Below are 27520 nucleotides of genomic sequence, written 5' to 3' on the forward strand. Positions count from 1 at the left end.
CTTGTTCAGTTACAGGGAATATCATAGCAGAAAGATTCCAGGAGACAGAAAGAGAAAGAACATGAAAGTTCTGGGATCATTAATGAAACAAAAGTTCTAACTCTCTCATGTAGCTAGAATAACAACAACAGTGAATGGCTTGATGATGCAGGACTAAGAAAAAATAAGGATTGGAAAATAGTATTCATTCTCTCCTTTCCAAAGTCCTCATGAAGTGAAATTCTAAGCATCAAAGAAAGGGACTCTTCCCGTCACTGCAGACAGCTAAGGGGTATAGGATAAACACTCATAGTGGTTCATGGGAACAGACCAATGTGACATCTGGAGAGGAATCTACCAAGATGTGCGATAAGTCTTGGAAGCCTGTGTTGCATACTTCACAGAAAGGATAACACACCTGTCCCCTTTGGCAGGCTTTGAGGTGCTGGTTGGGAAATGGTATGTTGCTGAGGGGATGGAACTTACGGGAGCAAGAATTTAGACCAGAAAACAATAAAGATAATTTGTCTCCTGCATATAATGTTGAGAGCCAGAATCCTACCTCCCACACTGACCTATCCTAGATAAAAGAGCATCAGGAGCTTGATTTTGCCATGACCATATTGAACTGTTTCCACCCCGGTTCTTGGATGATAAAAACCTGAATTTGCATGAAAACAGATTAGTTTAGATGTAATATTCTTTTGGGAATAGTGCTGAAATTATCAAAATTTTTGGCCAACCAAAGATGGTGTCTGCCTTCTTTCCAGAACCTAGCTCAGTGTCATCTGTGTGATTACCACGCACACACAACTTAATGTACATCCTTGAGCCTCACTTTTCAAGACGTTTAGTTATGGAGAGAATAAAACAAACCCTCTGCTGACCTGTGGAGTCATCTCTGTATGGGATCAAAATCTTGAAAGATTTTAGCTTTTGGTACTATGGGTATTCTTTGAGAGCCTCCACTCCCTTTTTTAAAAAAGATCTGCCAACCCTAGAGACTTCCATTTTGTAAAATTTCAGAAAATTCTATGGACTTCAGTTTTACATGTTAGAAAACCTTTTTAGAAAATCCAAATTATTCTATTTCCAGATTAACAATATAAGAAAAACTGACAAAACAGATGAATATTCACCTAAAATACAGTCATTATCACCAGTGTATTCTGACATATGATTGTAATTATGAATGTAATTTTACATGTTCACATTTTTCATTCCCCATAATGTAAAATAGCACAGGAAAAATTTTATCTCATACATCTTGCCAAGGTGACTCCCCACCTGTAATCAGCTTATCTCCAGAGGGTGGAATTGGAATGCTTGGGTATATGTGGGCCGGTTAGATTCTCTTTTCCTAGAGACCTGCACATAGACACACAGACACACAGAGACACACACATACCACATGGACACACAAAGACACAGACACACACAGACACACGACACACACACAAGACAGACACACCTACACATTCTCTCTACATTTAGACTCACTATTGCTGAAAGACCTAAACACTCCCCGCTAACTCCCCTCAGTCACATGTCAAAGGTGAAGAATAATTCTCTGGTCAAAAGAACTTGAGTCTGGAACTTTTGCCCTCAGCACTCCTACATGCTTCCCCCATTGTTTCTTACATGGGACAAAGTGACAAGGGTGAAGCTCATGCCATACTTCCTCCTCCAAGGACAGCTCAGAATCTGGCCCTGAACTCTTTTAGATATCTTGGTAACTAGGCTGACATGTAGCATTCCTGGGGAATGTATAGGAAGGAGGTGAATGGCACCTATCATTTATTGAGAGCCTTTTATGAGCCAAGCACTATGTGAAGTGGTTTCTATACATTATATGATGTAATCATCATGACAACCCAGTGAGATATGTACTATCATCATCTCCTTTTTACAGATGGAGAAACTGAGGCTCAGAGAGGTTAAGTAACTTGCCCGAGGCCACAAAGCCAGTAGGTGGCATAAAATGTCCAGGACTATTAAAGAATTCTACATATTCCATGCTGTTTACCACTGTGCAGTATTCTGCCTTGCAAATGAGAACTATAAGCCCCACCTCCACACAACAGAGAAGTTAATTCAGGAGTGAATTCTAAACATTTCAACCAGAATTCTTCAAAAATTGTTTCAGGACTAGATGCTAAGTAACTGCTCCTAAAGGATATTTACAATCATAAACACAGTAGAATTTGCATAATTATGCTGCTAAATATACACATGCCATTTTAAATATAACTGCCCTAGCTAGTATATTAGCACAATTATGCAGAAATAGGGGAAGAAAGAGGACAGCATTCTTGGTAGACTTCATTTTTTTAAATGCATCTGAGTACTATGTCAAAGAAAAATGTTAAAAACAGGAACATCAGAAACAATTACCGAAGCACAAAATTATAATCCATTGTCTCATCTATACCATGATGTTATTTAGAAATGCTTAATCTGTGTAAGTATTGTTAAAGAATTTTCAACCCCTTAAAGCTTAACTTCATGAGCACAGGGTCGTATAAAGAACCAATCCAATTTCTGTTGCAATTTCATAATATTAAAAAGCAAATAAATATGAGAGTGTTTTTCATATGAGAGTCTCAAGTGACATTTTACATCGAAGATGTGAAGCTGCAAAAACACCAGTGGGAGGCTGAGAAATCGGTGGCTGTGCTTTCTGTTGGCACTGCTGGGTTCTTATGCTGTTCTGAAGAGCACTTCAATATAGTAGCCCAAATAACTGTGGGATGTTAGAAATCAGAGGGAAAAATTCTTCCTTCCACATGCATACTTTGAAGACATCCAGTGGTAGCTTTTTTGAAGGAACATGATTTGGTAACAGCTCTGTTGACTTGAAAATAGCTCACTCAAGACTAAGTAATTGAGTCTTCAGTCTTATATTTAGTCACATACCTTGTGCTAATGAATTTGGCATTTCTTTCTTTCTAAAGATGCTTCAATGAGCATCTAGTAATAATAAATTGCATCTAGAATATCTGAAGAACACAGTGTCTATGGTATAACATTCTTGTGATGGTAGGGGTCTCCTACCAGGGACTTTGGGGTACAGTGACAGATCATAGCTGCTTTGACTTTCAGAACAGCCATTCTAGTGTCTGAGCTTCTAGAAAAGAAAGCAATCTTGAGTGATGAAGTGGTTTTATCCAAGTGACTTCCATTCAGCTAGGACTCCAAGTAGAGAATAGTCCTAGTGACCAGGAGAGACTGCCCAAGGAGACCATGTGTGACAAATGGCTTAGTGCCTGAGGCTCTGTCTTCTCTAGGTTGTAAAATTACTTCATTAAACAGCATCATTATTTCTATTCATGGCACATAAAACAGCCCTTAAGAATTGTAAAATTCTGGGACATTTATGTTTTGCTATTTTCTATTTGTAGTTTGGATCATATACTGTAATGTAAAATACCTTTAGTGAAATAACACTCAAAATTCAAGAGTGCTTATCGCAAAGTGACTACCTTGCCTTCGAAATATGTAACAGATTCCTCCAAATTGATTTTTCAGGACCCAGTAAACTTGAACTGAGATTGTATTTTTACACTATTCTATACCTAGAGCAGCTACATTCGACAAATTAGCATAGAGTTACACTAGGAAGAAAAATTTTGCCCATTCCGAGCACCTATAACTACAGAAAAGCAAACAACTTGAGTTTCTATTATGATTTTTGAGGCATGGTAGACTTAGCAGAACCTTCTGTGTACAGGAGGAAGCCCACATGGCAACTGGCAGCTTGTGTCTGCTGTTAATCATTTCACATCACTTTCTCATTTTATGAGGATTCAATGTTACTATGTTGGTAACTTTTAGGGGTGAGATGGATCCTTGGTTAAACAGTTGATCAAATGAAAGTCTAAATTCAGATTTATGTCATTGAAAAATGTTCACTGCGACTGGAAGACCTTTGAAGATTTCCTAAACCATGATTTATCCTCCTAGAGGACAGTCAGTTTGAATGATGGGAAAAGAAGGATTACTTGCTTTCCTTTCTTGCTGGTATAGTAAAAAGTGAGCCACATCAGCGATATCCTAAGTAGTTACAGTTAGCATCTCGGTAAAGCAGAGTTTCTTAACCTCTGTACTGTTGTCAGTTTGGGCCTGATAATTTGCTGTAGGGGGCTGTCCTGTGCATTGTAGGATGTTGTCTTAGTCCATTCTGTGTTGCTATAAAAAATACCTGAGACTGGGTACTTTGTAAAGAGAAGAGGTTTATTTAGCTCATGGTTCTAGAGGCTGAGAAGTTCTAGGGCATGGCCCTAGCTTCTGGCAAGGCCTTTTGTGCTGCATCATAGCATGGCAGAGAAGGTCAAGGGAGAAGTGAACCCAGGCAAAGAGGGAGAAATCTGAGGGGGGTCTGGTTTCCTAACAACTCACTCTCATGGGAACAAATTCATTACTGATAGAATGAATCCAATCTCTTAAAAGCGAGAGCAAGAAATCACTCACTACATTGAGAACAGCATGAGGCCCTTCATGAGGGATCTGCCCCCATAACCCAAACACCTTCCACTAGGCCCCACCTCCCAGCACTGCCACGTGGGGGATCACATTTCAACATGAGTTTTAGTGGGGACAAACCATATCCAAACCGTAGCAGATGTTTAGCAGCATCTCTGGCCTCTACCCACTGGAAGCCAGTAGCAAATACCAACTACCAATCCTGACCTAGCCAGGATAATCAAAGACATCTCTAGATATTGTAATGCCCTGCCCAGGGGGGCAAAATGCCCCAGCTTAGAAACGTTGCTCTAAAGGAAATTTGAACTTTTTCTACTTTTAATAAAATAGAGAAATGAAAGAATACCCCATGTTCAAGCAATGTAAATTGTGACATTCGTAAGGCAAGGACCAGGACAGTTATTACCTCCATTCTGCCCTCCTCCTCGTGATAAAGCAACTCATTATTGATAGAGCTTGCTATGACTACCTTCAGGTCAGTCAATCTGCTCATCAACCAGTTGTTCAGAGGCAGTAACTTGTAATGGACTTCCAAGCCAGAGTGCCTGGGTTCAAATCCCAGTTCTAACACTTGCCAGCAGATGGGACCTTTGACAAAGTACCGAATCTTGCTCTGCCTCCATTTGCTCAACTGTGACATAGAGATAATAATAGTATCTACCCCACAGGATGCAACAACTCATTACAGTTCAGTGTGTTATGGCAGCCTGGGATATACTAAGTGGCTGAGAGTTTCTAGTTTGAGCAAAGCACTCTACTAAGTGCTACTAAAGAGGAATGTAAATACACAGAGTTGGCAAGGATGAGGAACTCCCCGAAGAAGCAGGGAGAGACATTTCTGAATATAATATCAGAAAACACGTAAGGTGAGCAAGGGTGAGAGAATTAAACTAAATGTGAACACAGAATAGAATGAGCTGGGCTTACAGATCCAAATTAGAATGTTTAGAGTATCAAAACTGCTTCGAAGTTCATTTCAGGAAAGTAGCCAGGGTTGCACATCTGCTTGGGTCCAGGGGCAAAAAGACAAGCTAGGTTCAGGGCATCCTTTTAAAACTGCATCTGAGCTATAAGACTGAAGATAAGACAGCTAAGCCAGGTATGCGTGAAATCATTAGGTTATCTGTTTTGATGCCTAATAGTGCTTGACTGATTCAGCTCTTGTCTGAATTGCTTTTTCATGTAGCTGTAATTATGGATCAATAAATGTTTATTGAGCTGCTCTTATGTGCTTAGCTGTGGACTGGAGGATTTGCTGCATACAAAGAAACTGAGATATGGTTCCCATACACCAGGAACATAAACCATGAAGACAGTCATAAAATATTAAAAGCTTAATATAAACATATAAGCTTTGTCACGGTTTAAGTACAGGAAGCTTCGGAGTTACAAATGCCTACTGAATACCTGTTTTTGAGAAACAACCACAATCATTGAATTTCACACGTGATATTTCTTTTGGCTTTGGTGATGCCCAGGGATGCTCTTCTTGTCATTCCTGAGAGTGACAATGTCTCCTTGTGAGTCAGAGAGGAGAGAAGGGGACATGCCAAGTCACATGGCACCCCCAGAGGCTTGAGCTCCAGAGAAAGATCTCTTCCCAGCTTCCCAAAGTCCAGCTTGGAAGTCAGGACACGTTTTCCTTGAAAACAATGAGGAACGACGACAGGACTAATAATACATTGTAGGTTAAAGAGGCTTCCATGGGCCAGCTGGAAATCCAACCACCATTTATTCCAAGTTCTAAACAATGAAAGTACAAGTAAACTTTTCAATGACAAGCCTGCCATAATTTGGGGTCTGCTTGTACATAATTAATTCCAAAGAAGTGATACAGACGGTAATTGCTATGAATTCAGAAAAGGGAACATTTTCCCAAAGTTATGTGGGTCTCAGAGCCTTCTTGAGAACATTGAGATGGTCTAGAATTGAGGGCATGTACGTAATGAAAAGATGTCATTTGGGAAAGACCAACTAGTCTCTATCCAAAATTTGCTATACTTTTACCATCATGGTACCTATAAAAATGACATCTCGATATGATGTTTTGCCAGTCTCAGAAATCAAGTGCTGACCAACTGAATTGTTATTTCGTTCACAGGAGTGGAATTTCATGGTTAAGTCATATTTGCTAGTTATTCCTTAGACTCCTGAGTTCAGGCATCAGATACTTGATAAACATACTAGACCAACTAACAGATTTATGCAGCTAGCTCTATTCTTACACCAGGGATACTCTGTCAGAAATGCCAATGGAATAGCAGCCACAAGGTCTGTGTGCTACTTTAAACAAATCAATATCTCAAAAGGAAAAGGCGTCGTCTGTCACTAATTAGATCAAATTAAAATGTGCTGCTGTATCTCCTTTGAATATTCATGAGGTGCTCTCAATCAGAAGCCCTAAGTCTGAGACCAGAAACTTAAGCCAGAAAAAACTAAATACTGTGAGATTCAGATAACTCGGTCCTTTGCCAACTAGAACTTCAAAGAGAAGAGGAATAGCTTAGGTGCAGAGTAAGCCTCCTGAAAAGATGACAAAATCAGCTTAATGCAGAATCGTGGGGTTCCCACCCAACCTAAAGATGGATCGTCAAAATAGCCCAGGAGCTGATAATCCTAGACTCTGTTGACACACAGGACACATAGTTTAGCCTCTCTTGTGATTTACTTGTCCTTCTGTCTGGCGGAAACCATGGAGATTACACTTGTCCTTATTTGAATTCTGGACTTCATTTTTCATGAATGAAGTGATTCAAAAAATACAGCTGGGTCTAAGCATGAATTCTAACTTTCAAAAATCACAGATCTTAAAAAGTCTGTATTGAACTGGGTGCAGTAACTCATGCCTGTAATTCCAGCATGTTAGGAGGCTGAGGCAGGAGGGCCACTTGAGCCCTGGAGTTCAAGACCAGCCTGGGCAACAGAGTGAGATCCCATCTCTACAAAAGACTTTTTGAAAAATTAGGTGTGGTGGCACATGCTTGTAGCCCTAGGTGCTCAGGAGGCTAAGGTGGAAGGATCACTTGAGCCCAGGAGTTGGAGGCTGCAGTGAGCTATGATTGCACTACTGCACTCCAGCCTGGGCAACAGAGCAAGATCCTGTCTCAAAAAAAAAAAAAAAAAAAGTCTGTATATACTCATGCAGGGCCAACTTGTATCACCAGTAAATACTTCCTCTGTCTCCTTGTCCATCCTCAAAGCTAAAGAGACCTTGGAGAATACTGGGTCCTAATAGCTGACTTTACAGCAGGAGAAACAGCAAGGAGACTTCCTAAAGGTCCAAGGATGGGAGCTACTCTAGTTAAATGACATTTCGCTATCCTGCTGCCTTAAGGGTGGCTCCAGCCATTGCTCTTGACCTCACAGCCACCCACTGGGCCACTCCACCTCCATCTCTCACCTGACTTGCTACAGTGGTCTCCCAAAAGGTCTCCCCACTCAGTCCCTGCCCACCTTCCGCCTGTTCTCATTGGGGAGGCCAGAGTGACCCCGTTAAAACGTGAGACCTTTCATGTCGAGCCTCAGCTCAGGACTCGCCGTGGCCCCCCTCACATTTTGTCTTTGCAAGCACAAGTAACTAAGACAAAACAAAAAGGAAATGCACTAGAGAGACCAAATATAGCAAATGTTTTTTTCTTTTCCCTAAGAGTCATTATTTTATTTCTTTTGAGTCCGCCCTAAGATTTACAGCTCTAAAGCAGGCGAGAGTGGGGAGTTCATTTCCACAGTCACCATGAGGTCCACTCAAGAGACCATCTCTCCTGACACCGTCTCTCATTTGAAGGTAAATTAGCTGGCCGTGTTCAGCTGGCCCATAACATGAAGCAACTGCTATTCCTACCTGTTTGTACCTGTGCAAAAAATGAGATGTCAATTCCAGAACACAAATGTTCCAGATTAGCCTCAGGGAAGAGAAAGAAAATGCAAAACAGGTGATTTCATAAAGCAGGGTGTAGGCTTGCCCTGGGGAGTGGCGGCTCTAGGCACCCAGCAGAGAGCCAACAGGAAGTGAAGTGCCTCACCCTAGATGTGAGTCACTAAGGGAGGCAGCTCAGTGCCACAGAGAGCCCTGGATCCGAGAAAGCCTGCAAGCTAATTGATCTGTTTCCCTAAGAAAAGCCCTGCCTGGCTAAGCCTCAGTGTCTTTTGTCCTAATAAGGGGATGATAATCTACTCAAGAGTTCTGTGCAATTTTTATTTTTATTTTTATTATATTTATGTGTATATATATGTATATATGTATATGTGTGTGTATATATATATAGATATACATATATATTGATATACATATATATAGATAGATAGATATACATATATATATATATATATTTTTTTTTTTTTTTTTTTTTTTGAAACAGTCTCGCTCTGTTGCCCAGGCTGGAGTGCAGTGGCATGATCTCGGCTCACTGCAACCTCCGCCTCCCGGGTTCAAACAATTCTCCTGCCTCAGCCTCCCAAGTAGCTGGTATTACAGAAGCCCACCACAGTAGCCCAGCTAATTTTTTGTATTTTTAGTAGAGACAAGGTTTCACCATGTTGGCCAGGCTGGTTTTGAACTCCTGACTTCAAGGGATCCGCCCACCTCGGCCTCCCAAAGTGCTGGGATTACAGGTGTGAGCCACCGTGTATGGCCTATTTTTATTTTTCAATGTATTATTATTTTAGAGATGTGGTCTTGCTCTGTCACCCAGGCTGGAACGCAGTGGTGCAATCATAGCTCACTGCAGCCTCGAACTCCTGGGCTTAAGCAAGCCTCCCCCACCTCAGCCTCCCAAAATTTGGGGATTACAAGTGTGAGCCACTGTGCCTGGCAGAGGGACAAGTTCTGTGCAATTTAAATGAAAATAGCTATTAGATCACTTTGTGTACTGGACAGTTTTCTATGAATAAATTTTTCATTGACATAAAACCATGAAGCCATAGAGTTGTGCCAGCCCTTCGGATCTGAGGGGGGTTGTGTCCTTATTCCTGACTTGGGGCTGTTTCCTGGTCCCATCCAGAACAGCCTACACAGAAAGTGAATTGTGAAATAGATTAAAGGCTGCCTGGAGCCTTCCCTAAGTGCATTTGCTGTGCTGGGCAGAGCACTGCTAGAACCTGGGAAGCCAATTGTGCATGCGGGGAACACCAGGCCTGGGTGGGACTGAGCTTGGACCTCCTGGTTGGACCTGCCCGCTTTTTTTTTTTTTTTTTAATAGCTTCATTCAAGATCACAGACCCAGAATGGGAAGAGCTATGGGATTTATGTAAATCCCTTCCAACCAGAAACTTATGTAATTCCAGGATTCTAAGTGAGGCTGGATTTCTGTGGGTAGTGGGTGTGAGAGAATGGGTACCCCTGTTTAACAAGGGGTAGGGGCCTTCTGAGACTGTTTCCTCTACAGAGTAAGGGTTCGTTCAGCCTTTTCCGTGGCCTGCCAAGAACTCAACTCCATGTTCCCTCACTTCCTGTAATTGACCTTGTCCAGGACTTTCTGACCTTGGAGAATTCACCTTTGCTCTTTCTGCTGCTTCGTGCATTCTTCCACCAAATGTCTAACTGACTGGCTCCTCTCCAAACTCAAGGCTTTGCCAAATGCCACCAGCTCAGGGAGGCCTTTCCTGGCCATGACACTTGAAGTTGCAACACTCCCCCGCAGTCTCCCGTGCCCCAGATGTAAGTTCCATGAGGGCAAGCCCTGTGCTTTTACCACCATATCCCCAGCATCTTGAGCTGTGCCTGGCCCAAGAAATATTTGTTGAATGAATGAATTTAAAGGGATATCATGAAGGCTTACACATCCTCAATGGTTTACAGGTTATAATGTGCTTCGCTACACATTTTTCTCATTTGCCCTCATTTTGATGTCTCTGTAGGGTGACAGCCTTTGGGACAGGTAAGGCAGTTGTTTTCCCAATTCGATGGTTAAGGAGCGGAGACCCAGAGACGTTAAGTGACTTCTGAGTGGAGATTTGTATCTCCCCGTGGATGTCTGTTAATGAACTTGAATGCAGCATGCCCAAAAATAAAGTCCTATCTTCCCCACATCAGGTAACAACAGCTTCATTCATCTAGTCACTCAGGCCAAAAGTCTTGGTGTCATCTTGATTGCTGTCTCCCCAACCCTGCGTTTGGACACCCAGACCCAGAGAACAGTAAGATCTGTACTCAGAGGTTTCCTGGCTCCAGCCATTGCTCTCGACCTCACAGCTACCCATTGGGCCAAGCCACCTCCAGCTCTCACCTGACTTGCTGCAGTGGTCTCCCAAGAGGTCTCTCCACTCAGTCCCTGCCACCTTCAGCCTGTTCTCAGTGGAGGGGGCCAGAGTGACCCTGTTAAAACATGAGACCTTTCACGTCCAACCTCAGCTCAGACTTCCCCATGGTTCCTATCACACTCAGGGTCAAAGTGAGAGTCCCTAAGATGACACACAAGTAGGGAGAATGCCCTTCTCGGCTGGACTGGGACAGCTCCAGGGTATCCCTATTGTCCTTGTACAATACTTGCAATGACCAATGGCTCCCCTGTCCACTTTCTGAAGTATCCTGGTGTGGAGAATAAATGATTTGATTCCCCTCGCCACAAGCCCTGGACAGGTCAACCGTCTGCCCCTCTGACATCATTTCAATCACCCTCCCCTTCCTTCCTTCACTGCAGGCACACTGGCCTCCCCAGCTCTCCTCAGTACTGCCAGGCATGCTCCTGCCTTGGGCAGAGTGTATATGTGTGAGTGCACCTGCCCTTCCCACAGCCTAGAACGTTCCTCCTCCAGACAGCACACATGGCCTGCTCTCTCACTTCCTTAAGGTCTTTATTCAAAAGTGACTTTCTCAGTGAAGCCCTGTCTGCTCACCCTGCGTAAAATTTCAGCTCTTCTTTCTATCTCTCTTCCCAGATTTTTTTTTCTCCTTCATGTTCGTTGGTGTCTAAGGTTTATCATCTATTTCGCTAATGGTCAGTAGAATGTAACCTCCACGTAAGCAAGGAGTTTTGTCTGTTTTGTTCATGTCTATGTCCTTAGTGCCTGGAGCATTCCCTAGTATGCAGTAGGTGCTCAATAAATGTCAGTTGGATTAATGGCTGAAAGAAAGGTCACCGCTGTAAGGATGGAGTCAGAGAACAAACACAGTTAATTCCTGGTCCACTGTTTTTGCTTCCACTAAATTGTATTTGGTCTACGGCTTCTCCGCTTGCCCTGGAACCCTGCTCAGAACACTGCTCCCTTCTCCTTCTTCTTCTCCCTCCGGATAAATTCTGCCATTCTTTTCAGCATCATTCACATCTCACCTATTATAAGAACTTGTTCTTCCGCAGCCTATTGCTCCGTCTCCACCATCCAGGAGTACCTTATTGATAGCACTGAGCACAGAGGAACCCCACAGAATTCTGGCTGGGCTGTAGCCACCATGCCCACCCAAGCCAAGTCATCCGAAGCCTAGGATCAGGAAGAAAGGCATCAGCATCACTGACTCTCAGCGCCCGTCATGGTGCTCACGCACAAAGTGATGGTGGAAGTGAACTGAAATTGACATGATAATCAATCGTCTCCCGAGGCCATGAAGAAAATAAACAGCATCCCTAGGAGTATGTGAAGAACTATTTATTAGAGAGAATACCATCATCGCCACAGCATTCCCTTTCCACATCTCATTGCCAGTTTTCATTCTGTCAACACCTCAGTGAATTTATGAAGAAAGATTAGAAATAGCTTTTTCCTCTAGATCCTTGTAAATGGAGCTTCATTTTTGCCTGTTTTTTTTACAGGTATCCTTAAATGTGTCTGTCTTCCTGCACTGTAAGTGAAATGCAGAACATTTTAGATGAGCCCCTTTGTTAGGTTACAGACTCTTTCCTGACTTGGGAAAAGTGCCTAATGAGAAGGTTTCCCCCAACTCTGTCTCCTTGAAGATTACCAGAAGGAGAGGACATAGGAAGAAATAGAAGGGGCACAAGGGGCCTTTTCTTCTCATTTATTACCCTCCTCTGTCATTCAGAAAGCAACGTCAGTATAGCATGGGAACAGCAAGGCTGAAAAATAGCCCAGATGCAATGGGGTTCAGTTGGGATAATGTTGAAAGTATTCAGGGTCCAACCTGGGTAAGAGGCAGGAGAAATGACCAGAGACTGTTCAGACAGTATCGAAGGTGGAGAAAGCAAGGCCAGGCTACAGATAAAGAAATAGTTTGTATGAATAAGAGAAATGAAGACAACAAAAAATCGCCATACTTAGAGGGGGTCTTGGAGTTTCAGATCTAGACAGTAACACCATTCTGAGTTAGAACTCAAGGTCAGAGGATGGCTGTAAAGATTTTGAGGCTGTATAGTGCCAAATTTCTGTAGGGGTTGTAAGTATGGATGTTGAAGCTACAAAGGATGGCAGCTGGGGTATGGTGGATGGGAGCACCAGGGATGGGAGGGGATTTCCTGGGTAGTGGTAGGGAACTTAGGGATGAGATAGTCAAGAATTCCAAAGCAGGGGAGATACTGAGACATTAGACGAAACAAAATATTGAAGTGCTTTTTAGGGGAGACAGAACGTAGCCAGTCTTCTTGCTCATGCCATAAGCACAGGGCCCGGGGAGAAGAAATGGCAGCCCTGACTGCCCACTACACCAGTGTCTCCCAAATAGATCTAAATGTGTCAATGAGAAGTTAAATGTATTGGGAGTTTGGGGAACAATGTCTTTAGTTACACAGCTTTTCCACCAATAGGTTAACTTCTGGCAGAAATAGAAAGGTCATTGCTTAGAGTCACATTTGAAGCTTTACCACAAATTCAGACAATTTAAATTCCTTTGTTTTGTTGAACTCGTCTGAAAACAGTCTTTAATTACTTTGGGTTTTTTTTTCCTCATACCAGAGTCAGGGCATGAACAAACAAGGGCATAGCCTCGCTTTAAACCTGTTCACTATTGCATCCTGGAAAAATGCCTTCGGCACTGCCAAGATCAAAGAGTTTTAGTTCAGGTAGATTGCTCCTAGAAAAAAGGAAATTGACATTGTCAAAGAAAGGCATGCCTGGGAAAGGGGATGCAGTGCCTCTGCTGTGTCCACGGCAGCTAGCATGTTACCTAGCACGTATTAAGGGCTCAAAAATATTTGTTGATTGACTCTTTGGCCATGTAACACTTTCTGGGGTGGGGAGAGAGATGACAGGGAATGAGCAGGAATACAAAGAAAAAAATTGCAAAATTTAGAACTAGAAGCAAATGGCGGAACCACCTAGTAGGGACTCTCAGAAGGCCAGAATACTGCAGTTGTTACTGACTACAGTGGGTTGAGGCTGCAGTGAGCTATGATCATTCGTGCTGTACTCCAGCCTGGGAACAGAGTGAGACCTTGTCTCAAAAAAAAAAAAAGTTCTATAAATGGAGTCACTGGCTAAAAATCATCCCCTAACTGGTTAGGAAGGTTAATGCTTCAGATTAGGGACTAATCACATCAGCTCGGCTAGCTGGTTTCAGCCATCTTCTGTAATATGTCTTCTGGAAACTTAAGAACAAATCCTTTGGGATTCTTAATAGGGGAATCGCCAGCTTCATATGCTACTGACTTGTTTCTTAATAGCCATTCATTTACTTAGATATATAATAAGGACTTAATTCAGGCTTAGTGACACTTTGGTCAGTACAAAGTCTCTAGTCAAAAAAAAAAAAATCAAGGTGAAACTTGAATCAAAAAGTTATATAAGTGGGCCAGGCATGGTGGCTTATGCCTGTAATTCCAACACTTTGGGAGGCCGATCTCGCTTGAGTCCAGGAGATCAAGACCAGCCTGGGCAACATGGTGAAACCCCATCTCTACTAAAAATACAAAAGAATTAGCCAGGCGTGGTGGTGCATGCCTGTGGTGCCAGCTACTTGGGGGGCTGAGGTGAAAGGATCTCTTGAGCTCGGTGAGTTGAGGCTGCAGTGAGCTATGATCATGCCACTGTATTCCAGCCTGGGAACAGAGTGAGAACCTGTCAAAAAAAAAAAAAAAAAAAAAAAAAGGTTCTATAAATGGAGTCATTGGCTAAAAATCATCCCCTAAACACAGATTCTTTTTTTTCCTTTTCTGTGTTCCAAAGGCAGAACAGACCACCAGCGGTATGAATTTTGCTTCGTCTTCACAGACAGACATGGAGCTTGCAGGAAAGTTGTTTAGAGTAATCGGACTTTTAACACTGGAAACAGCACTTCCCTGAATTTGACTTGAGTTTTTTTATTAATATTATGTTTGGATCATGAGAAGACTCATTCAGACAGGCTGACTTAAGACATTAAATGACTAGTTAACCATATACACTAATCACATAAATATGGTTTGTGGAATGATATAAAATGGTTTACGAAATCATTTTTAAGCCATCTTTTCAACAGTAATTGTATCAGTCCTGTCATATTTTAAACCAAGCGATATTGGCAAGAATGAGCCTAAATGTCTTTAATATTCTGATGATGAGCATGAAAAATTGCCACTGCAATAAAATGACAGGGTTGTGTTCATTTCTCTTCTTCCATGGCACTTTGCTTTCTTCCCTTTCAACTTTAAAACACACTTCCTAACATTTCATCATGGGAGAAGGCTGCATAAGTTTCCAGTTGCTGTAATTTACTTAAACCATAAAATTGTTTCCAGATTACCAACCATAAAATGGAAAGACAATCTTATTTATTAATGTATAAATCAGATAATGTCCCCAATATGAATCCTGAAACCAGACACACTTTGACGATTAAATAGGAGGGAAAATGTTTTCTCATTACCATATGTCAAAAGAATGGTATTTTTGTGAAGTGGCTTTGGTCAAGAGAGTAGAGCATACACTTGTATTCGGTGCTCTGTGTGCTCCCACCCAGGAGAGAATGGCTTCCCCTCTACTGTCAAGCATCTGAACTCTCCAGGGGGGATGTCAGATGAGAAGCCACCTGACTCAGTATCTCTGATGCAGCGTGTCTCTTTCCTGGTGGCCTTGCAGGTGACATGCCCTGAACGAGGCCATCCAGGGAGCCTTCACTCCCTTCCTCACAGATACAAAAAGGCAAGCCAAGCATGTGGGTACCTGGAGTGCATATAGCCCTTTTGTTCTAAAAGCACCCAGACTCTTATCCCAGACCGTTCTGCAACTCTGTCAATGTCAGCCTTAAAGAAGAATAGGATGTTGTTTGGGAGTTGTCTCTCTCTGCACCCTAAAACTATTACCTGGTGGGAGCTCAGGGTAGAAGCTGAGTACTCACTGAGCCAAGGAACATGCCGAAGGTGTGTCTGCAGCTCCCCAGACTTCCATGTGTAGATGACGTGGTCTGTGTTGTGACATTCTATAGTTCTAACCTCGAGGATGAATCAGTAGAGGAGCAGCAATGTTGTTTATCCAGAATGATTCAGGTGCTTTGTTTCTTTTTTTTTTTCCTTTTTTTTTTTTTTTTTTTTTGAGACAGAGTCTCGCTCTGTCTCCCAGGCTGGAGTGCAGTGGTGCAATCTCTGCTCACTGCAACTTCTGCCTCCTGGGTTCAAGTGATTCTCCTGCCTCAGCCTCCCGAGTAGCTGGGATTACAGTCATGTGCCACCACACCCAGCTAATTTTTGTATTTTTAGTAGAGACGGGATTTCACCATGTTGGCCAGGCTGGTCTCGAACTCTTGACCTCAAGTGATCCACCTGCCTTGGCCTCCCAAAGCACTGGGATTACAGATGTGAGCCACTGCGCCCAGCCTGTTTTGAATTTTAATGCTGATGCTCTCCTTTGTTGGACGATGTAATGAAACCTGTTGACCAGACTGGAAGCAGAAAGAAGGCTGGTCTAGCCCTAACCAGCATTGTTCTTGTGGCCAGCGATGGAATCCCAGGACTCCCCTCTGCCATTTCCCTCTTAGCAGAGTCTCATTTAGTCTCTACATAAATGAGACCTACCTATTTCTTGCATTTCTTAATATTACTGTCTTCTGCATGTACTAAGGTTGTCATCATGCCTTCCTATCCCACACTCCAGCTGTACAGAACCCTTTAAGCAACTTCCTTACCAAAGCTGTCTAGACTCTAAAAATGCCACGTTACCTTTTTTTTTTTCTTAAAGGAATATCCTTTGCATTTGCCTAGGATTGAAGAAAAGCAGTAAAGTGGTACATCTCAAGGTAGCCCTGAATGCACCTCTGCTCTTACTGTCATTCATTTTACTCCAGCACCACTGCGGATAGAGTCCCTGTGGGACGAATGAGGACACTGGGCAACTTTCACCTGGGGCTGAGCATTCTTCCGAGGAAGTCATTCATTTCCCAAGAGTGTGTGCAAGTCTGTGCCCCCCATGTGGCAGGAAGAGTGACCAACCACCACTCCCATTTTTTCTGAGATGCTACTGTGACTTGGGTCAATAAGCTTGACATTGCTGATGGATGTTCACTAACCTGCTTTCCTTATTTGAATTTCTTACCATTGTTTCTCTTTGATATGTGGACTATTTTATGGCAAAGAGGGTTGCCAAGGTATGACTGAAATGCTATATGGCTGAGAGGTTTAGCATCGGCTGGTGTACCTGGAAACATTTGCAAATCACTCCGTGGAGATATATTTCCACACTCACCGTTTGAGATTTCTTATTTCCATTCTATTACAGCAGAGAGACCATACTATTAATACTTAAAATTGCTTGGTGTTTTTTTTCCTCCTTGGTGGATTTGCAACCTTTAACTATCCAGACTGCATGACTTATATGCAAGAAACTCAGTATTGTGACAGACCTTCAATTTTAAACTAAAGAAAATGCATGGAGTTCTGATATCAGAAGCTTCCAATTACAAAATTAAGATCAGTGTTACATATGGCACTGAGAGTTACATTCCAAAGGCAAAACTCAAGGCCGCAATGCTTGAGTTGGACAAAATTACCCTTGAATATCATCTTGATTGTCACAAAATTCAGGATGCAGATGCACCAGCTTAATCAGTTGGCTTTTTCTAGTGGAAGAACAGGCCATCATTACTTTTTTTTTTTTTGAGACAGTCTTGCACTGTCACCCAGGATGGAGTGCAGTGGCGCGATCTCAGCTCACTGTAGCCTCCACCTCCCAGGTTCCCGTGATTCTCCTGCCTCAGCCTCCCGAGTAGCTGGGATTACAGGCATGCACAACCACACCCAACTAATTTTTGTATTTATAGTAGAGACGGGGTTTCACCATGTTGGCCAGGCTGGTCTCGAAGTTCTGACCTCAGGTGATCCGCCCACCTGGGCCTCCCAAAGTGCTGGAATTACAGGCAGGAGCCACCGTGCCCGGCCAGACCATCATTACTTTTTCCACTGACAATCAGATAAATTAGCCAGCATGTATTTAATAGTGTAAGAATATACTGTTTGCAGCATGGGAATCCCCACCACTCACAAACCCAGAGGCCTGTGGGACTGAGATCCGCAGTGAGGAGTGAGGTCCCCTCTCTTATCTCAGGCTCATGCAAGGACACTCACTCATGGGAGATAACAGCACAGGCAATGCCCATGCCATATACATTGTTCTCCTCTCTCTCCTTTTCCTGTTTTGAACTAACAAATATGCATAACTGAATTCACATGAGGTGACATGTGAAGCCTCTATTCACTTACTCGTATTGTTGTTTTTAACAATGTGTTGAAAACATGGCAATAGTTCTGCGAAACGTCCATTGTCTGAGGTCTAGAAATGTGAGTCTATTTCAAATGCCAGCTAAACTGTAATGAAACATCAAAGAGCCCTGGAGAGAGAGGAACAGTATCTGTATATGGAAATCATTGGGAAATTTTTCATTAACATCTTGAGATGGCCAAGCTGTTAGGGATATTCGTGTTCCTGCGTGATTCTATAAAAACCTCCAGGCTAAAGTTCCTATGACATTAGATCTAACATCATCTACCTTCAAATAAATGGGTTGTTTTGTTTTGTTTTGAGACAGAGTCTCACTCTTTTGCCCAGTCTGTAGTTCACTGGTGCAATCTTGGTAGCAGAGACAGGGTTTCACCATGTTGGCCAAGCTGGTCTCAAACTCCTGACCTCAGGTGATCTGCCCACCTCGGCTTCCCAAAGTGCTGGGATTACAGGTGTGAGCCACCGCGCCCGGCCGGGTTTCAGTCATATTTCTCCATGGTCTAAAGAAGAGACATGTTTGTGTTGCCCCTAAGCTGTGACACAAGTGTTACTACCCACACAGCAAACAGCTCCATCATTTACACCAAAACCACTCCGCAGCCTCCCAGCTGAGGTGTACGGCATAGAAATGTGTGCAGCTAGGTGAGATCTGGCCTGGGACACTGCGAATGCTAGGGAACAGCCCTTTTGTGCAAGGTGAAAGAAAGAAAGCAGGGCAGAAAGACTCAAAAACATAGGATGTGCAAACAGGAGTGTTTCCGAGGGAGATGTCTTTGAGTTGGTCCGTGCTGTGTCTTTTTTTAGCCAGTCAGGTCACTGGCTTGATACTGAACACTGATCACGAATCTTGACCTGAGCTAAGGATGTGCGGCTCTTCATGTTCCTGAGCCAGGTTGGGTGAACTTCCACGGCCTTCTAGGTGGTACCTTTTATAACCCTCAGGTGGTGCATTCACCCGGACAAACTGGTTTGAAAGTCCATAAAGCTTTAACAAACAATTCTCTTGTTTTACAGAGAGAGGATGCAAGCCATGGAGAAACAGATTGCCAGTTTAACTGGCCTTGTTCAGTCTGCGCTTTTTAAAGGGCCCATTACAAGTTATAGCAAAGATGCGTCTAGGTAAAAAAGAAGAAAGCCAATGAAAAAAATAATTCAATCTGTTTCTCTTTTAATCATTAAGATAATTCATTCATTCAAATCTGTTTTCTTGTAATCATTTCAAGGCTGAAAATATTCACATCTCTATGGATCATGGGCGTTATTTTTTTGTTTTGGGGGGTTTGGTTGCTTTTTTTCTTTCCTCCTTCTGGTAATTCTTGGTCGAAAGTAACACTTTGGCCCAAGAAGGTAAATGGGCTTCCCAGTGCATGTGGCTTCATGGACCACTCACCGTGCAGTGCCTGCAACCACCACCCTTGCGTGTCCACGTCGCCATCATCTGAAAGTCACAAGTGAGCCTGGCTGCATTCCACCCCCAGTGTCAGGTGCACACCTGGGAAGCCTTTTCCATCCTGGCCAATTGTGATGCTGATGCTAAAATACCTTCATTGCTTAATCCCATCACTGCCAATTGCTTCAAATAGTGGATGGAATGGGCTTTAAAAAAAAAAAAAAAGGCATTTTGGAAACTGCATAGCTGACTCTCTTTTTCTTTTATTCAGCGAGAAAATGATGAAAACCACAGCCAACAGGAACCACACAGATAGTGCAGGTAAGTAAGTGTTTTTGGAGCTGTAGGAGGCCTGTGGGCTGCCTGGGATGAGCCCTGGCTGGTCTCAGAAATGTTTAACATTTCCCTAAGTCACGTATTTGGTATGATGTCAGGGGATTCCTAGATATTCCTGCCAATACTGAAATTCCAGATTTATTCATTAATTCGGGGGCAAAGCACTGTATTCTCCCTTCGGTTTTCATTCATTCGCTCATTCATTTGTTCATTGATATGGCCACACGGTGGTCATCTTGCAGACACGGGGCTGCCTGCCTAGAACTTAGAATTCAGTGGGGAAGATGGAAATGGGACAAGTAATTTTATGTGTGTCAAGTGTTTAAAAGTGCAGGATAAATGTTTCACCAATAGGACTAGCCTATACCAAGGGCAGTCCCCAGACAAAGTGACATAAACTAAGCCCAGAAAGATGAAGAGGACTTAGGGGGAAGAAGGGTTGTCCAGTCAAGGGAATTTAAAATTGTTCTAAGTGCAAAGTGAAGCCATCGGAAGGTTGTACACTGGGGAAGGACATCAGCCCAGCTGCAATATGGGGATGGATGAGAAGGGACAGTAGCCAATAAGGAATGACCAGTGTCCAGATGGGAGAAAAAGGAGTACTTGGACTAGGGCCTACTTTTTATTTTATCTTTTTAATCTCATGACAGATGACAAGGCCTGCTTTTTAAATGCCAGCATTCCCCAGAAAGACAGCCCAGTTCTGTTAGTAGTGGCGTTCACTAGTATCCAGGTCTTTGCAATGAATGTCTCATCCAGCAGTCTCAAGCCAGGCCTCTGCAAGAAGATGAGGTCTTCCCTCTCATCGGGTTAGAAATAGAAATCCTTAGCAGGAACACATTCAGATACTAAATTACACAGAAAGCATATGGCAAGTTGGGTGAAACCCCAAATTTAGGGAAGCCACGTGTACTAGTTTTGTGCAGCACGGTAGAGTAGACAGAATTGGGGACTTCAGTTTAGGGCTCTGTTGGTCGTGGTTCTTCTCTGGCTGAGCACAATTTAGCTACAAAGCCAACAGGGCCACTCTGCCATCATTCCTGATCCTGACGGGATTTGTTGTTTTGCTTAGAAATCAATCAGTGGCCTTGGCCGAAGCCAGAGAATTATTTCACGGAAATTGCTAAACTTGTCTTCAGAGCAATTGCCAGTTTGTTTCGGAGATACTTAATTCATTCATTTTTTAAAATGGATTGTAAACTTAGGGAGAAGAAAGGAAACTACTAAATACTAAAAGCTCCCATCCTTCTATAATCCATTCTAGAAATGATTCATATCTGAAAGCACTGCTCTAAGCAATATGTACGTGCTGTTTTGTATTCTCCTTTTATTTCTTTTTGCTTTATAGAGAAGAAGAAGAAGAATAAATATGTAGTGAGTGCTTCCTATGCACTTTTCATGCATTCACTCATGAACTCCTTACCGCAGCATCTAGGGAGAGGTACAGTTTTTATTCTCATGTTCCAGAGAAGAAAACTGAATGCACATCCACACACGTGACACACATCATCATAGTCCAAATGCCTCCCATTTGAACTCCTTTTATGTTAAGATGCCTCAGTCCCTTTAAAGATATATAGGTTGTTTCATTTCTTTGTTCTAAAAACTCTTGTCAATTTCTTTTCAAATGTGGGGAAAGGAGCCAGTGTCATTTCCTCAGATATATTTCCCAAAGTGGAATCGGTGGGTCCAAAGGGACAGTTCAGTGCCACTGGTGACATGCTGTTAGTTTTCTCTTCTGAATGGCTGAGCTGATTTGCAACGCCACTGGCAATGAGCACGTGGACTCACTCCCCACGTCTCTGCTAGGTTTGGACTTTCTCACTCTAACGTATCAGGGCGAGATATCGTCCACAGGGGCTTCGTTGCCATAGCAGCCTTGTATAGTGCACAAAATATAATAATTCTTCCAGAATGCTAGGAAGTCAGCTACAAGACAAGTATTATCCCTGTTCTGTAGACAAGTAAACGGAATTATATAGAAGTCAAGGAACTCATCTGGCCAAGAGTAAAGGAAAACCCAGACTTCCTGGCTACTTATGGAATGTGTAGTTTACTGTGGAAAGAGAACAGATGGAACCTCCCATCTCAAAGGTTTTTATACTGAGCATTAGATCATTTAACACACAAAACCCTATAAGGAAGATGTCATTACCCATATTTTACATGAAAAGAAACAGAAGCTCAGGGAGGTTAGGTTAGTTTTCCAAAGCGACACAGCTATTAAGAGTGACAGCCAGGCTGGGCATGGTGGCTCATGCCTGTAATCTCAGGACCTTGGAAGGCTGAAGTGGGAGGACTGCTTGAGGCTAGGAGTTTGAGACCAGCCTGGGCAATATTGCAAGACCCTGTCTCCACAAAAAATGAGCGTGGTGGTACATGTTTGTAGTCCCACATACTTGGGAGGCTGAGGTGGGAAGACTGCTTGAGCCCGAGAGGTCAAGGCTGCAGTAAGCCGAGATCAAGCCACTGCACTTCAGCCTGAGTGACAGAGCAAGACCTTGTCTCAAAAAAAAAAAAAAAAAGTGACAGCCTGACTGGCTGATAATTGAGTAGATAGTGGTGCCACTGGCTACAATTAGGCCCGTATTATAATGGACATTGGAGACTCAGAAGTGGGCAGGGTGGGAGGGGATGAGGGATAAAAAAAACTACGAATTGGGTACAAAGTACACTACTCAGGTGATGGGTGTACTAAAATCTCCGACTTCTCCACTATACAATTCATCCATGTATCCAAAAACTACTTGTTCCTCAAAAGTTATTGAAATTATATATATAATACAATTAGGCCCACAGAGACAGAAAGAGCTTTGTGGAAGACGAGTGGAAATAATGAATTTGACTTGTTTATGGAAAAGTTCAGTAGTGGCGTGAAGGCGTTAGTATGTGGATCTGAAGATGATTGTGTGCTGCTGACGAGGGTGCGGGAGACCTTGGTGGGTGGTGGTAGCAGAAGTGGCCTCCCTAGAAAGTATGTCCAGCAAGAAGAGAAGTGGACCCAGGGACACAACATATCAGGATTTAAAAGGTTGGCAGAGGAAGGAGTTAGAAAAGAGATTGACCAAGACGGAGCAGCAGAAAGGGAAGAAGATCATGGAAAGTTTCAAAGTGACTAAAAGGAAAAGAAGTGGCTGACAAAGCTTAGTGTCACATTGAAGCAAAGGAGAGAGTCCACAGGGGTGACAACTAGAAGATCGCTGAAATGAACATAAAGAGCCATTTCAGAGAATGAAGGAGCTATGACATGTACCAAATATAGGAGATTAAGAGGTTATAGATGAAGATTTTTTTAAGTGAGTATAGATTCCATTAAGAAATTTGGTTGTGGCTTGGCATGGTGACCCACGCCTATAATCCCAGCACTTTGGCCGAGGCAGGAGGATCGCTTGAGGCCAGGAGTTCAAGACCACCCTGGGCAACATGGCAAAACCCCGTCTCTACAAAAAATACAAAAATATTAGCCAGATGTGGTGGCACATACCCATAGTCCCAGCTTTGGAAGGCTGATGTGGGAGGATCACCTGAGACCAGGAAGGTTGAGGCTCGGGGAATTGCACCGCTGCACTCAAGCCTGAGTGACAGAGCGAAACCATGTTAAAACAAAAAAATTGCGCTGTGAAAGTTATCTTCTTAAACCAGTTATCAGCATTCAACTGTAACAACTAGTACCTAGTCTTCAGCCTTTTCCTCCATGGAATAAAAGATCGAGGGGAGGGAGGTACCTTGGTGGCCTCAGAATGTGTAAGGAGAAAGAGGTATAGAAAGAATGTGTGATTTCCTTTGGCTGAGGAATTAGCAGAATGGTTCTTAGTAGCAAACAGAAGGTAGCACAGTGTCATCTTTGTTGGAGAAATACCTTGTTATCAGAAATGATATGGCATGTTGTGAGTGTGTGTGCGCCTATCCCTCAAAGAGTGCCTATCCCTCTCTGTCTGGGGAATGATGATAAAGTAATTTGACTGATTCTGTAAGGAAAACTTCCAATGGATTGTGGTCAGAATCACTGACATTGGAAGGCACTGTTAACTCTAACATGCAGCTGTCATTGGAAATGTTATCAGATATGTTTTACTTGGTACTTTCATAGTTGGAGAATATCCTTTTGAACAACAGCAGAGATGACAAATCTTGCTCTTTCGAGGATGATTTTGATTTGAGGGGTGGAGGAACCACCAGAAATTGGTCAGAGCCATGACTGGTGATGTGAGTGACCATTTAGGCTTAGAAACATAACGTGGCTGGGCGCGGTGGCCCACGCCTGTAATCCCAGCACTTTGGGAGGCCGAGGCAGGTGGATCACCTGAGGTCAGGAGTCCGAGACTAGCCTGGATAACATGGTGAAACCTCGTCTCTACTAAAAATACAAAATTAACTGGGTGTTGTGGTGTGCACCTGTAGTCCCAGCTACTCGGGAGGCTGAGACAGGAAAATCGCTTGCACCCAGGAGGCAGAGGCTGCAGTGAGCCAAGATCATGCCACTGCACTCCAGCCTGGACAAGACAGAGCGAGACTCTGTCTCAAAAAAAAGAAAGAAAGAAACATAACAAAAAGCTCGCTATCGGGTCTCCTGGAGCTCCATTGTCAGTTCTTTAAAATGCCTTCTGGCCTGCTCCCCTGCTGCCTCCCCAAGAGGGCCATTAGAGGGGCTGGGAGACTGGCCCTATTTGGATGGTCACTCATGGATGAAGACCATGGGGCGCCAGCAGCATCAGCATCGCCAAGGCCAAGCAAGAAAGAGGATAGTTTCAGGGAGCTCCCTGGCTCATGAGCCACTTTGAGCTCCACTGGGGCCTGGCTGAGTTGTGTGTGCTGGAGCGGGAAAGGTTCCCGAAATGACTGAGCCAGGATGGAAAGACAGGGTACCACCACACTATAGCCACTCCAGGGTCTGCAAGTGGCCAGCAGTGCTCTGTCCTGCAAGGCCAGCCTGGCCTGTGACAAAGCTTTACAGGAAAGAGAACTGAACAGAAGTGTGTGTGTGTGTGTGTGTGTGTGTGTGTGTGTCTTTATTAGTAACATGGATCCAGCCTCTACTCCAGAAGAGTGTGTGTGCGTGTGTGTGTGTGTCTTTATTAGTAACATGGATCCAGCCTTTACTCCAGAACAGTGTGTGCATGCGTGTGTGTGTGTGCGTGTCTTTATTAGTAATATGGATCCAGCCTCTACTCCAGAAGAGTGTGTGCGTGTGTGTGTGTGTGTGTGTGTGTCTTTATTAGTAACATGGATCCAGCCTCTACTCCAGGTACCTGTATCAATAGAATTGCATTGTCCTTTTTAGAGTCCCCTCCTGAAGAATTTTTGCATCTTGCCTTATTTTCTTACTAAAGGAGTTGTGTGCAGATGCCCTCTTTCTTTTCATTTTGGAAATCTGAAGGGATTCAGGACAGTACCCAGTTCTTACTAATCTCCCCTTGGCGATTGGCTGAATCTCTGCCCAGAAATAAGTTGCATGTCCTTAGGTTACATTTGCTGTGCAGAAAATAGGCACATAAGCACTCTATATTAGGTCTCAGAATTTTAAAATTAGTTTTCTCTATTATAAAATTGCAGATATTCAGTATGCAGATTTTAGAAATACAAAAAATTGGCCAAGTGCGGTGGTTCACGCCTGTAATCCTAGCTCTTAGGGAGGCAGAGGCAGGAGGATAGCTTGAGCCCAGGTGTTCGAGACCTGCCTGGGCAATACGGTGAGACCCTGTTCTCAAAAATAAAAAATAGTAAACAAACAAACAAAAAACCTTATATTGGAAAAGCACAGCTGGAGATACCGTTAACACTTTGTTTTATACACTTCTAAGCTTTTCTCTATGCAAACCTGTGTGTTTAAAAAAGCTCTACTTCCAGGGGTTAAGAAAAGAAAAAAAAATTAAAATAAAAAAAAAATAAACAAAATTGATCAATTGATAGAACAATCAGTGGATAGATAGATAGGAGCATAGGCAGCTCTGTGGCCTGTCTTCCTATGGCACTTTCTTACTAAACTTCTAGAATGTGATCATTGCACACTGCATACCATAACACTGTGTGATTCATATATATGCATATTTTTTGTAATGAGAGAATTAGGCCTTTTTAGAATTACCAGTCATCTGCATTGGGATGGGATGCATAGCTTAGACTTTCCTTTGTGGCCTTCTGAGTTCTCTGATGCACTTTTCTCATAGGAACGCCCCATGTGTCTGGTGGGAAGATGCTCAGTGCTCTGGAGTCCACGGTGCCTCCCAGCCAGCCTCCACCTGTGGGCACCTCAGCCATCCACATGAGCCTGCTTGAGATGAGGCGGAGCGTGGCGGAACTCAGGCTCCAGCTCCAGCAGATGCGGCAGCTCCAGGTATTCCTCATGCACGGCGGCCTCTGTCTCGGTTGCCCTGAGCTCTTCCTACCTTCCTTTTCCTAGGGGCTCCGTGAAGACCTAGAGAATGTAGAACCATAGAAACAGCATGGCTTCCTCTCTCACACACACAATCCAAGTCTAGAGCCTTCCACTGCAACTATAGTCAATCTATAACCACTTCTTTTTTTTTTTTTTTTTTTTTTTTTTTTTTTTTTTTTGAGACGTAGTCTCGCTTTGTCCCCCAGGCTGGAGTGCAGTGGCGCGATCTCGGCTCACTGCAAGCTCCGTCTCCCGGGTTCACGCCATTCTCCTGCCTCAGCCTCCCGAGTAGCTGGAACTACAGGCGCCCGCCACCACGCCCGGCTAATTTTTTCTATGTTTTAGTAGAGACGGGGTTTCACCGTGTTAGCCAGGATGGTCTCGATCTCCTGACCTCGTGATCCACCTGCCTCGGCCTCCCAAAGTGCTGGGATTACAGTCTTGAGCCACCGCGTCTGGCCTACAACCACTTCTTTAAGCTGTGCGTACTTTTACGCAGGAAGAGACTCTAGGGCATTTGTTTTTGGAGAAGAGCCGAAAGGAGAGGGGCCACGGGGAGCATGCCGACAGCCAGTGAAGGCTGACTTCTGACAGCTTGGAGGCTCCATCCTCCTCCACACTGAACGGGGACAAAGGTGGATAGTCAGCCAAGCTTTTTTTTTTTTTTTTTTTTTCATTTTTTTTGCAAGGATCTGTGATGTATTTAGAACTATGAGTTTAGAATAGAAGATGAATTCATAAGGAAAAAAAGCCATCATGGTGATTTGTTACGAAAAACATCTGCATTTCATTCAGATACTGTGATCCATCCGTTCCTTGCTCTTTTCCATTGTTAAGGAATATATAAACTCTACGGGAATCAGGATAAGTGACCCTTCAGGTCACGAATCTTGGTCAACAAATCCCGTAAATCTGCCAAAGCAGAATAAGCTGTCTCCTGGGTAATAAGGAGGTAGAGATGTGCATCTCTGCATGAGACCACATATTTGCTCTGTGCACCTTCTCCCACCTCCCTGCCCTGGCTGGTAGGTTGGTCGTTGAGGATACAGTGCTGGCCTAGGCTCTATACAGATATCCTCCCTGACTTCCAGAAGCTCATAATCCAAATAGTGCTAGAAGATAGGGCCAGGTGTCATGGCTCATGCCTGTAATCCCAGCACTTTGGGAGGACGAGGCAGGTGGATGACGAGGTCAGGACTTCAAGACCAGCCTGGCCAATGTGGTGAAACCCCATTTATACTGAAAAAAAATTAGCCAGGCATGGTGGGGTGTGCCTCTAGTCCCAGCTACTAGGGAGGCTGAGACTTGAGAATCACTTGAATGTGGAAGGCAGAGGTTGCATGAGCCAGGATAGCACCATTGCACTCCAGCCTGGGCAATAGACC

The 27520-nt window shown here is 43.5% G+C and overlaps 1 protein-coding gene across 54 annotated transcripts in view, besides 5 other annotated features; it reads left to right on the forward strand.

The window, feature by feature from the left end:
- KIAA1217 overlaps positions 1-27520 on the forward strand; it is an 853117-nt gene that overhangs the window by 780726 nt on the left and 44871 nt on the right. For 32 of the 54 annotated variants that reach the window (XM_017016417.2, NM_001282768.2, XM_047425499.1 and 29 more), the window contains 2 exons: positions 19695-19744; positions 25927-26093. In XM_017016417.2, coding sequence (XP_016871906.1) covers positions 19695-19744; positions 25927-26093 — 217 coding nt within the window. Of the gene's footprint in view, positions 1-19047; positions 19153-19694; positions 19745-25926; positions 26094-27520 lie in introns of all 54 variants that reach the window. The other 22 variants (NM_001098500.3, NM_019590.5, XM_047425513.1 and 19 more) reach the window with 1 other exon arrangement.
- Positions 16440-16609: an enhancer, noted in NCBI's record as "experimental_11630 CRE fragment used in MPRA reporter constructs". NCBI's record gives its function as "activates a minimal promoter by MPRAs in K562 erythroleukemia cells, with activity observed for both the introgressed and non-introgressed 10:24780906 variant alleles {active_cell/tissue: K562}" and the evidence as "EXISTENCE:reporter gene assay evidence [ECO:0000049][PMID:34662402]".
- Positions 18154-18655: an enhancer, noted in NCBI's record as "H3K27ac hESC enhancer chr10:24782535-24783036 (GRCh37/hg19 assembly coordinates)". NCBI's record gives its function as "activates a minimal SCP1, AML or CMV promoter by ChIP-STARR-seq in primed H9 embryonic stem cells {active_cell/tissue: H9 hESC(primed)}" and the evidence as "EXISTENCE:reporter gene assay evidence [ECO:0000049][PMID:30033119]".
- Positions 18656-19155: an enhancer, noted in NCBI's record as "H3K27ac hESC enhancer chr10:24783037-24783536 (GRCh37/hg19 assembly coordinates)". NCBI's record gives its function as "activates a minimal SCP1, AML or CMV promoter by ChIP-STARR-seq in primed H9 embryonic stem cells {active_cell/tissue: H9 hESC(primed)}" and the evidence as "EXISTENCE:reporter gene assay evidence [ECO:0000049][PMID:30033119]".
- Positions 19311-20091: an enhancer, noted in NCBI's record as "OCT4-NANOG-H3K4me1 hESC enhancer chr10:24783692-24784472 (GRCh37/hg19 assembly coordinates)". NCBI's record gives its function as "activates a minimal SCP1, AML or CMV promoter by ChIP-STARR-seq in primed H9 embryonic stem cells {active_cell/tissue: H9 hESC(primed)}" and the evidence as "EXISTENCE:reporter gene assay evidence [ECO:0000049][PMID:30033119]".
- Positions 26000-26500: an enhancer, noted in NCBI's record as "H3K4me1 hESC enhancer chr10:24790381-24790881 (GRCh37/hg19 assembly coordinates)". NCBI's record gives its function as "activates a minimal SCP1, AML or CMV promoter by ChIP-STARR-seq in primed H9 embryonic stem cells {active_cell/tissue: H9 hESC(primed)}" and the evidence as "EXISTENCE:reporter gene assay evidence [ECO:0000049][PMID:30033119]".

Source organism: Homo sapiens, chromosome 10 (assembly GCF_000001405.40).
Source record: "Homo sapiens chromosome 10, GRCh38.p14 Primary Assembly".
NCBI classification, from domain to species: domain Eukaryota; kingdom Metazoa; phylum Chordata; class Mammalia; order Primates; family Hominidae; genus Homo; species Homo sapiens.